Below are 12,690 nucleotides of genomic sequence, written 5' to 3' on the forward strand. Positions count from 1 at the left end.
CTATTAAGTATTTAATAAATCTCAGGTATTGCTATGACCCCTACCCAATAGACATACAAGATCTACAATTGTTGAACAATCCATATCTGAACACCATACATATATCTAAACATTTATCTGTTCTCTGCCTTACTAACTCATTTTGACACTTAGCCTATGACCTATTCCCTTAAGAAAGACTTTACAGTGAAAGAAGCTGCCCATTGTTCCTGCAGTGCTTGCTCTGTAGAGGGCACATTAAAATTTGATCTTTGTGGAGGGCAATCAAAAACTGGTTTGCATATACACCTTTCCCTCGAGACTGCAGCAATTCAGGACAGGCAGGCACCATGCCTTGTCTCTGCATAGCCTCAGTGCCTACTGACTGCTAAGTTCTTAATAACAGTAATAAACTTTTAAAAAATGAATTAATGATGGTCAGAGAGCATATGCCAACCATGCTTTGGCCTTAAAAATAGAGGCAAGAAGTAGACATGAAATCTAAGTGTCTTCCTCCCCACTCTACCCCTCAAGACTATAAAAGTATTTGAATGAAGAATTCCCAAAGGTATCCTTTCTTCACTGCCTGGAAGGTAGGGAGGACTTAAGATGCTGGGAGAGGCCATGTCTACTCAAAGGTTATACTGGTTGAAGTGCTAGAAATTACAGGTAGATTTTGGGAGGCAAGCATCTTAATAGCTCAAGGGGAGAAAAGTAATATTAAGAGAATCTCATGAGGCCGCCCCTCATAAGCCAGGTTGTGACAAAGATGACAGATTAAATTTGTAAGTTTTATACCATTTTTTCCTTTCCTTATCAGCAAATTATAATGTGAACATTGTAGCTGCAATAATTAATTAATTGTAGTGCATTCACCCTTACAGGCTTAGTGCTAAAACCCTGTGACCCCAATATTTAAATTTATGCAAATTTAAATCCCCGGAGTGATTTTAAAAATCTGCTCCAAGCACTAGCTCCAATTCCAAATTCTGGTGGTGTCTCTAAGGAGTGCCTAATCCTCTTCACAGAGAAACTAGGGGTTAAATCACGAGGACAGGGGAAGTTTATAAAACATACACTGGCAGGCATATTCCTTTTTCCCTATTATTTCTCAGAGGGGGAAAAAAAGGTGGAGGACAGAAGGGATGATAGATAACACATTTTATATCTGTGTGATGTGATTAGGGGACACTGTAGCAGAAAAGAGGCCAGTAGCAGCAGCAGCAGCACCGCCACCATTGGCCCAGGAAACAATGTGCTGAGAACGAACAGAAATCAGCAGCTGGTGAACAGAATGTGTCTGTACATGGCATGGGACAGGAGATGTCTGACGAATGGCATAGAACCAGCATCTGAAACTCATCTCTCCATCCTTTCCATGCCAAAAAATGAACTAGATAAACAAAACCAAGATGGTCAGGTTTACCACTGCATTAATAGTTGGGATGAGGAGATTAATATAGATTAAATGGTTAGACTGGAAACGTGCTCCCTTTTCACTATCCAAAAGCCAATAATATTGAAGGGAAACCAGCAAATTCTTTCATTCATTCATCTTACAAACATTTATTGAGCACTTACCATTTGCCAGGCCCTGAACTTGACACTGGAAACACAAAGAGAAATAAGATATAATCCCTGTCCTATGGTAAATTAGTCTTGTAGAGGCTATGACATGAAAACTCATAAATGAAATATATTCTTACAGAGATGATATTATAGAAATACAAGGCAGAGCTGAGCATAATGGAGAGAATTATTATTCATAATTGGCTAGTGATAGGATTTACACAGCCTTCCTCCAGAAGGAGAGGCTTCGAGTCTCAACAGGGGAGTAGTTCCCAGTCTTATGATACAGAGGAAGCCCTGGGAGGAAATATTAGGAGAACTATAACAGAATGAAGAACTGGGCTCAAAGCAGCTCCTACATACTCCACATGTAACTTTCTGTAGCTTCTGATTTTAGTTTTCAAACTATTCTCAAATATGATATTCACTCTCTCCTTTTTCCACCCTAAATTCTGAGGTACAAAAGCCAAAAAACTTATATTAAAATATTTTAATATAAAGTTTATATATATGAGATACATAAACATAAATATATAAAGTTTACATGAAAAAATATACTTATGATATATTTGATATATTAGATTCCCTCCTTTAATCACTTTCAGATGTCATGTGCTTTCTATATAATCACTAGAATGAAATATATATATACATATTTATTTATTATACTTTAAGTTCTGGGATACATGTACAGAACATGCAGGTTTGTTACATAGGTATATACATGCCATGGTGGTTTGCTGCACCCATCAACTGTCATCTACGTTAGGTATTTCTCCTAATGTTATCCCTCCCCTAGTCCCCCAGCCCCCAACAGGCCCCAGTATGTGATGTTCCCCTCCCTGTGTCTATGTGTTCTCATTGTTCAACTCCCACTTATAAATAAGAACAGGCAGTGTTTGGTTTTCTTTTCCTGGGTTAGTTTGCTGAGAATGATGGTTTCCAGCTTCAACCATGTCCCAGCAAAGGACATGAACTCATCCTTTTTTATGGCTGCATAGTATTCCATGGGGTATATGTGCCACATTTTCTTTATCCAGTCTATCATTGATGGGCATTTGGGTTGGTTCCAAGTCTTTACTATTGTGAACAGTGCTGCAATAAACATACATGTGCATGTGTCTTCATAGTAGAATGATTTATAATCCTCTGGGTATATACCCAGTAATGGGATTGCTGGGTCAAATGGTACAAGCCTGGAACATCTTTTGGTGCCAGAAAGTAAAGAAACACTAAAATAATAATGGGAAAAAATGTCAAAAGAATATGAGAGTTAGTATAAAAGGCTTCCACTGGGCAAGTCTGAAATGATTTGAGCATCAAAATAAATAATAGCTGTAACAGATAGTAATCCTTTGAGTAAAATAGGAATTCATCAATTCATACTGTTATAAATACCATGGTGGGTTTGTATTGTGTCAACTTGGTCAATCTGTAACTACATTTCCCAGAATTCCCTTCCCTGCATAATTCTGAATTAGCATGGGCCAGAAGTGATCATTTGCATAAGATTTGGAATACAAAGGTATACGAACAGAAGTATTCCTTTATGCTTAGAAGGTTGGTGCAAGGAACAAGATGCTGTTACAGCTCACTCACATTACTGGCTCACCTTGTGTCAGAAGGGTGCAACCAGGTCTGCAGGTCACCAACTCCTGTGAGATCCTTGGCCTCCCTCCATCTCTCTGGTACCTGGAGAGGTACATGATTAGCCCCATGGTCAAGGGCACTGACCTTTGCCACAGAACATCCCAAAATCTAACTGGAGGCTTGGAGGTGATGAAAGACCAAGGGACTCCATTCTAACCCTATAGATTCTAGCTTATCCTTGCTTCCCCAACTTTATGTCCATTGGCCTTTCCTCATTGTCTATCCCGTAGGATTCAGAATACAGCTCCAGACACAGAAACAAAAGGCTCACAAGACTGTGCAACCAGTTTCCACTATGGCATTTGGTCATATTCTTATAATAAATCCTTTATTATATATATTTATATTTAATTTATATATATATCTCCTAGTGTCTTGCTTCTCTGCACAAAACCTGATTGGCACAAATACATAAAGATAGGACAAAAGGAAGGATGAAGGAAGGATAAAGGAAGGATGGAGGGAGGGATGAAAGCAAGGAAGTAGGGAAGAGAGGAAAGAAGGAAAGGAGGAAGAAAAGTAAGGGGATAAGGAAGGAAAACAGGGAGGAAGGAAGAGAAGGAAGGAAGGAAGGACTGTACTGTTCAGGGAAAATCTCAAAGCATATTCCCACAAGATACTTAATTATTTATTAATTAATGAGCACAATTTATTAATTAGCTCTACAGTGAAGAAGCCTAGCAGAAGCTGTATCACTCAAGTAATAAAATTTAACATTACCAGTAGTAGTAACATTACCAATGTTGCATACAACCTGATGTGATATAATGAAATAAACACAGCATCGTTTTTGAGGTAAACCTGCTGAAAGTAAGGTTTCAGCAGGCATACCTTTCAGGTATACCTTTTTTTTGGTTTGTTTGTTTGTTTTGTTTTTGTTTGTTTTCTTTTTTTTGAGACGGAGTCTCCCTCTGTCACCCAGGCTGGAGTGCAGTGGCGTGATCTTGGCTCATGCAACCTCTGCCTCCCAGGTTTAAGTGATTCTTCTGCTTCAGCCTCCCGAGTAGCTGGGACTAGAGGCTCCCGCCACCACGCCTGGATGATTTCTGTATTTTTAGTAGAGATGGGGTTTCACCATATTAGCCAGGCTGGTCTTGAACTCCTGACCTTGTGATCTGGCTGCCTCGGCCTTCCAAAGTGCTGGGATTACAGGTGTGAGCCACCGCGCCTAGCCAGGTATATCTTGTTTTATTGCACTTTGCTTTATTACACTCCATAGATGTGTCTGCATGTGTGTGTGTGTGTGTATAACAAATTAAAGGTCTATGGCAACATTGCATCAAGCAAGCCTATTGGTGCCATTTTTCCAACAGCATGTGCTCACTTTGTGTCTCTGGGTCACATTTTGTCAACTCTTGGAATAGTTCAAATATTGTCATTACTATTATACCTGTTATGGTGATCTGCGATCAGTGATCTTTGCTGTTACTTTTGTAATTGGATGGGGGGGTGCCATGAACCATGCCCATAATAATATGGCAAATTTAATCAATAAATGTTGTGTGTGTTCTGACTACTCCACCAACTGGTTATTTTCCTCCATCTCTCTCCCTCTCCTCAGGCCTCCCTATTTCCCAAGACAACAATATTGAAATAAGGCCAAGTAATAACCCTACAATGACCTCTAAGTGTTCAAGTGAAAGGAAGAATCACATTTCTCTTACATTAAATCAAAAGCTAGAAAATAATTAAGCTCAGTGAGGAAGGTATGTCAAAATCTGAGATAGGCAGAAAGCTAGGCCTCTTGTGCCAAATGGTTAGCCAAGTCGTGAATGCAAAGGAAAAGTTCTTGAAGGAAATTAAAAGTGCTTCTCCAGTGAATGCTCAAGTGATAAGAAAGCAAAACGCCTTACTGCTTGCTGATAAGGAGAAAGTTTTAGTGGTCTAGATAGAAGACCAAAGCAGCCACAACATTCTCTTAAGCCAAAGCCTGATCCAGAGAAAGGCCCTAACTCTTATCAATTTTATGAAAGCTGAGAGAGGTGACGAAGTTGCAGAAGAAAAGGCTGGAGCTAGAAAAGGTTTGTTCAGGAGGTTTAAGGAAATAAACTGTCTTTATAACATAAAAGTGCAAGGTAAAATAGCAAGTGCTGAAGTAAAAGCAGCAGCAAGTGATCCAGAAGATCTAGCCAAGATCATTGGTGAAGGAGGCTTCAATATACAACAGATTTTCAACGTAGATAGAACACCCTTCTATTGAAAGAAATCCTTTATATGGGACTTTCATAGCTAGAGAAGTCAATGCCTGGCAACAAAGCTTCAAAAAAAACAAAAAAACAAAAAAACAAGCAGGCTAACACTCTTGTTAGAAGCTAATGTAGCTGGTGACTTTAAGTTAAAGCCAGTTCTCATTTGCCACTCCAAAAATCCTAGGCCCTTAAGAGTGATGCTAAATATACTCTGCTTGTGCTCCATAAATGGAACAACAAAGCATGAATGAAAACACATCTGTTTTACAGCACATGGTTTACAGGAATATTTTGAGCCCACTATTGAGACCTATTGCTTAGAAATTAAGCTTTCTTTCTAAAGATTACTGCTCATTGACAATGTACCTAGTCACCCAAGAGCTCTGATGGAGATGTACAAGGAAATTAATATTGCTTTCATACCTGTTAACACAATACCCATTATGCAGCCCATAGATCAAGGAGTAATTTTGACTTTCAAGTCTTATTATTTAGGAAATACATTTCATAAGGCTATAGCTGCCTCAGGTAGTGATTCCTCCGATGGATCTGGGCAAAGTTAGTTGAAAACCTTCTGGAAATGAGTCACCATTTTAAATGCCAGTAAGAACATTCATGATTTATTGGAGGAGGTCAAAATATCGACATTAATAGGAGTTTGAGAGAAGTTGCTTCCAAAGCTCATGGATGACTTTGAGGGGTTCAAGACTTCAGTAGAGGTAGTATACAGTTGTGGTGGAAAGTGCAAGAGACGTAGAATTAGAAGTGGAGACTAAAGATGTGACCGAATTGCTGCAATCTCATAATAAAACTTGAATGGGTGAGGAGTTATTTCTTATGGATGAGCAAACAAAATGGTTTCTTGAGATGAAATCTACTTTTGGTGAAGATGCTGTGAATATTGTTGAAATGACAAAGGTTTTAGAATATTACATAAACTTACTTGACAAAGCAGCAGCAGGGTTTGAGAGGACTGGCTCCTATTTTGAAAGTTTTACTGTGGGTAAAATGCTATCAAAGAGTAATACATGCTACAGAGAAGTCTCTCATGTAAGAAAGAGTCAATTGGTGCTACAAACTCATTGTTGTCTTATTTTAAGAAATTACCGCAACTGTCTAACCTTCAGCAACAACCACTCTGATCACTCAGCAGTCATCAGCATTGAGGCAAGACCCTCCACAAGCAAAAGATTACAACTGACTGAAGGCTTGATTATTGCTGACATTTTTTAGTAATAAAGCATGTTTTAATCAAGGTATGCACATTGTTTTTGTAGACCTAATGCTATTATACACTTAATACACCACAGCATAGTGTAAATATAACTTTTATGTGCACTGAAAAAAAAAAGTGTGATTCACTTTATTGCAATATTTACTTTATTGTGGTGGTCTGGAACCAAACTTGCAATGTCAGAGAAACACCTCTATAAGTACCCTACTGGTTCTGTTTCTCTAGAGAACCCTGACTAATACAATCATGAAAGACAAGAAAAGACTGAAGAACTATACTAGATTGAAGGACACTAAAGAGAAACCACATTCAAACACAAGAATGACTCTATGTGGACAACAGGACAAATTTTTAATAGATGGTAATGATGGAACAATATTGATTTCCTGATTTTTGCACTCACAGCTAAGTGGGAAAAAATGCCTTGTTTCAGAAAATACTCACTTAAAAGGTATCATGTTTGCAACCATTCTTAAGCGGTTCACCACATATAGTGATATGTATGTTTGTATATATGTACACATATACTAGATTGATGAATTGACATATAATTACACATATATAAGGAGAGAGAGAGAGAGAGAAAGAAAATGGAAATGATAAGGCGAGTATGCTAAAATGTTAACAATTTGCATATACGGATGAAAGCTACACAGGAACTCTGACTATTTTTCATACTGGTTTTGTAACTTCTGAAATTTAAAATCATTTCAAAAATAAAAAGTAAAATACATATATATGTAAAAGAGGAAGGTTAGAAATAGATACTACCCAGAAAAAGAAAAAAGATATGAAATTATCTCTTACTTATTTCACGAGATTCACTGCCCACTCATATTAAGAGAAATGTATACATAATATCTCACCTCTCAGATACATAGTATAAATAATAGTGTAGACCAGTGTGTCAGTGATGGTATGAAGAGGTCAACTGAGCTGGAGATGTCCTGCTTGTACTTCTAGTCCCATTTCTCCACCCTGCTCTGTACTTCAGGCGGCTGACCTGTGGGGATTACATTAAGGGTCTGGTTTAATCTCTGGCCATCTGTCAAGTTTGGGCAATGGATGGTATCAGCAAGGCATCAGAAGGAGGAAGGAGAGTGTGGTCGAAATTATTTACTCCCTAGGCTTCCTTTCTGAGGATTTGCTTCTGGCTGGCTGCCTCCATGTCACCAATTCACAGCCCCTTTCAGGTGGCCCTCTGAACACAACCCTCTCTGCCTTCAGGCTTCAGTGAGTGTTTCCTCCTCTTGCACCCTCAGGTCCCATAGTGGTAACCTCAGCCCCTCACCCCCATCTCAATATATATTCCACGGAAAGCCCTGGGGTTTCTGTATCCTGCCCATACTTTGTAAATAATTCCTTTACTTAGTCTTCTTCATATTACCAATTAATGCATCTGTTTTCTGCCATGCTCCTTAGGATACACTGACATTCTCCAGAATTTCTAGCTGTAAAATGGTACAACTTCAATTGAGGGAAATTAGCAATATCTATCAAAATTATAAGTACATAGAACCATCAACCCAGCACTTTCACATAATTTTCATATTAATACATATATCCCAGCATATTCCAAAATGACAAATACTCTTTGTAGCTTTGGTTGTATTATAAAATACTGGAAAAATTCTAAATATCTATCAATAGAAAACAGCCCTACAATGGAATATTGTGAAGCTATTAAAAGAATGAGACAGCTCTTTATATATAACATAGAATGACTTTCAAGGTGTAATGTTAAAAAAAGAGAAGTATAGAAGAGTCTACTAGTATGCTTCCATTTGAGTAAAATATGTGTGCATGTGTATGTAATTTTATATATATAATACACATATAAATAGACACATACACTCACCATATGCACATATGTTTGTATATACTACATATGCATATGTTATCTCAGAAAGGAGGGTAAAGTACTATTAGCCATGGTTATATCTAGTGAGTAAACTGAGTGAGTGGAAGTGAGGTGGGAGGTGTCACAGATAAAAGCCACTAATTTCTATTGTGGACATTTTGAATGTTGTACTGCATACATGTATTATCCATTAACAAAATAACTAAAATTGTATTTTGCCTGCAGAGTGCCTATGTGGACTTTTTTTAGTGTACACAGGAAAAGAAAACCATCAGGTGAAGTCATGATCAATTTCAATTCAGGCCATTTTAATAAGAGAACTGCTGAGGCCTCAAACTTACAAACGCTGCAGATGTGTGGCTGAAGTTGACTATTGGTTATGGGTATGGAGAAACAAATCTAGGCATAGGGCTTACCCCTCTGAGCAAAGCTTGGTGGTGTAATGGTCAATTTCCAGCATGTACACTATACAATTAAGTATAGCTTAATGTATCATTGACTCTATATGGAAGTCAGGGATGAAGTGGGAAAGGAGGGACCAAAAAAAATCTAATAGATGGGACACTGAAATAGGAGATATTTAAAGTCTAGAAGGTGATAGTTATTAGCACAGTCCAGGAAAAAATCATCCATTCAAGGCAAGACACCAGCCTCTAGCAGGCAGTGAATGAGTTGGGGAAGTAGAACAGGTATGGGAATGAAACAGTAATAAGAAAAGGGCCAGTTTTTTAAGTAGCAAGGCAGTATGGTAGAGTCCCAGAGTCAAGCACCGTGACATCCTGGCCTGGCATTAACCTAACAGGGTGCTGGGGTACCGAGGCTTGTTGAAGCGGGTAGGTCCTGCTATGTAGACACCCAGGTTCACGAGGCATGACTTTTAATGGCAGTGAGACCGCATTGCTGGCTTCCTACTGTGATTATCTCACAAAGAAAGAACATTTTAAGTATTGGTTGGTTGAGCAATAAGCAACCAGAAAAACAGGAAAAATCGCAGTGGGCCTGAGTCCAGAGGTAGGCGGCATCCATAATCCCTGGCAAAGGGGATTAGAGGAGACAAAAACCCATGAAATGAGTCTGTACATGATAACAGATGGGATGTGAGCTATACCTAGACCACCACAGCCTGCAGATACCTTACAACAATTTCTCACTCCTGCTCCATGTCAACAATTTACAGAAATATAAACCAAGTCAATATGTACTTTGCTCACTTTAAATTAGGAGACAGAAATGTTTTCATCCACATCCCTTTCCTTTCTCATGTAAAGCCATTTCCTCGTTTTCAAATAGTTTCTTTGTCAAAAACATTTCTATGTCTACCTGGAATTCTGGAACCTATCAATAGAGTAAAAGCAAAAGCAAGAAGGTCTCCAGGGAATTATGCTCAAAGCAGAGGCACTAAAAATAGCCTAGTGTCTCATCTCAGCCTTTTCCCTTTCATTTAGAGATACACCCAGAAACCCACTGCCTTAAAGGATGTAACAGTTCAAAACCTACCAGTGTTTCAGCAAAAACTGCATTTGAATCTGTGAGTGCCACCTTCTTTTTAAAAAAATTTTTATAGGCTTATTTTCCTCATGATAGTTTCATTGCATTTGTTGGGTTGTAAACCATGTAAAGCTCAGCAATAAAATGACTGCAATCTGTACAAGTAATAGCAAGCATGTCTCATAAACAAGATAAGTTGTGCCTTGCCAATATTGCTACACTTCATAAATATGAACTCAAGTCTGTTTTGTGTTTTCTAGATCAGTAGCATAGTTTTATTTTAATTAAACACAACATATAAAATATTCATTTATGAAACAAACATCATTGTTTTTAAAAGATTATATTAAATTAAATTATACTGCTTTTGCCATAAAGCCATGCACAAAAGAACCATTCTGAATTTTAAGTGGATTGATACAGTTCAAGTGTCCATCAATAAAAACTATATTAGGAACACAGTAATGCTACCATGAATAAATGAGCTATTTATATTCCCTGATAATGTAAGTGCTTATATGAACTCATTCCAATTTCTAAACACTAGGCATTTCAGCTGTGTAGTAATTAAGAAACTATAATATCTACAGAAGAAAGGTAGATGCTGCCAGAGCCATTTTATACAGCAGATTTTAAGAATTTAACTTCATCAGTGACATAATTCGTTGTCATATTTTATTAGATCAGATCTGGATAACTTTGGGAAGCCAAATGAAGAGTCATTAAAGGTGATTCCTATACTAGACCTGCTGTGTAAAGGACAGAGCTTCCCAGTTTCGTTCTTAGTTCTGCTACTAACAAGCTATGAATCAGCTGCCTTTTTGTGATCAAAGAGAACTGCACTAAATTAACCTCTAGCTTGCAGATTCCATGATTATCTTCAAACAGGGGTGGACCTAGGTTTTATGGTGTCTGAGTTATATAAATTGAGGATGCTTTTAAGGAAAAGAGCATAAAATAACAGATACAGAAATAGATATGAAAATGAATATTTACTCTGAATGAAAAAAGAAATCATAGTAAACTACTGGAGGCTTTTTATATCTCTTTAGGTAACCTACCAGAAGCACTTATATAGATAAGCTTTTGTCATGCTTACCTTGCTTCTCCTCCCCACCTGGAATACTGTATAAATTATTGCACTCAGAGGACCAACACAAGTGAAGCCCTGATGTTTTCACCTCCTTTGCTTAACAGTATATCTACTGCTACTCCTAAATGACTAGAAACCGTTATGACATATTATTAGTTAGTGAGAAAGATTCCATCCAAATTCTACCTATAGGATTCTCCTATGTGTTCCATGAAGCTTAGCCTTACTCATTATTTTTCATTGACTTCCTCTTCTCAAAACCCATAGTACTTATAATGTGTACCACACAATTTACCATTTATAAGCATTGGAAATTGCCTTAGATTGTTCACCACTGATTCAAGCACTGTCTTCCCAGTGAGAAGAAATTGAAGGCATGACTTTTCTTATTATACCCCACTCTTACAAAGGTGGCCTTTACTACCAAGTCGATGGTTTTTAAAACTAATTTCTCAACTAAAAGAAAACTTCTTGTGTGTTGATGGTGTAGAATATTTTATGTTAAATATAATCTTCCCAACTCAATACCTTTCAGGCGCATTACAACTTCTCATGTCTATGAAGACTAAAAATGCAAAATGTTATCCTGGATTCAAGTCACAGAACACTGAAAATTTAGAAAGGACTCAATCATGTTTTCCCTTATTGTTCTAGAATGAATTGAGGTGCCCTGAATGCTAAATAAATATTTCCTTTGGAGTATATCACTTTGAGAACAGCTGTTTTAAACATTCAATCTCAACTCTTATGAATCCCCTTTACACATAAAACAATTAATTCACACTTCATGTGAAAATGTAAAACTTTCACAAATCTTAAGCACTCATCTTGGGTTGACACATTTTTAGGGGAAAATTGTCAAGACCCAGAAGAAGAAAGGAGAAAAATAACAAGAAAGTCAAGATCAAGCTCTTCTCCCAAACTATCAGATATTTTATTTTATTTTATTTTTTGCGACAGAGTCTTGCTCTGTCACCCATGCTGGAGTGCAGTGGTATGGTCTCTGCTCACTGCAACCTCCGCCTCCTGAGTTCAAGTGATTCTCCTGCCTCAGCCTCCTGAGTAGCTGGGACTATAGGCACGTGTCACCATGCCCAGCCAATTTTTTTTTTTTTTTTTTTGTATTTTTAGTAGAAATGGGGTTTTGCTATGTTGGCCAGGCTGGTCTCAAACTCCTGACCTTAAGTGATCCGCCCGCCTTGGCCTTCCAAAGTGCTGGGATTACAGGCCTGGGCCTCTGCACCCAGCCTCAAACTATCACAAATGTAGTGTCTTTGCAATAAAGGGTATTTTTGATGCTAAAAAGAATATTATCAACATGTTTGAAAAAAATTATATGCTTACTCATTTGTTTACTCATGTGATAGCTTTTTTGGTGAGGCAAATTTGTTTTTAAAATTACAAATGAATGCAGCTTCTGCCCTTGTAGGATTGCCCATAATTGACCTGGAGCTCAGGTGCCACATACGCTTCACCTTGCTGGAAGCTGGTGATGAAATAAAATAACTAAATATCGATAGTAATGACACCAGTAGAAAATGGGCATGTAAAAAAGCAGAAAAAGAGAGGAGGAGAAGTGATAGAGTAGAGGAAAATCATGTCACATGATAGAGGTGAATGCCAATAA

General features: G+C 37.8%; 1 long non-coding RNA gene across 1 annotated transcript in view; it reads right to left on the reverse strand.

Moving 5' to 3' along the window:
• Window positions 1-7,492: 7,492 nt before the first annotated feature.
• Window positions 7,493-12,690, reverse strand: part of LOC107985824 (uncharacterized) — a 35,677-nt gene continuing 30,479 nt past the window's right edge. The window contains exon 3 of the long non-coding RNA XR_001739217.2: window positions 7,493-7,624. This is a non-coding gene — a long non-coding RNA (uncharacterized LOC107985824). The remainder of the gene's footprint in view (window positions 7,625-12,690) is intronic.

This window comes from Homo sapiens, chromosome 2 (genome assembly GCF_000001405.40).
Source record: "Homo sapiens chromosome 2, GRCh38.p14 Primary Assembly".
In the NCBI taxonomy this organism is placed as follows: domain Eukaryota; kingdom Metazoa; phylum Chordata; class Mammalia; order Primates; family Hominidae; genus Homo; species Homo sapiens.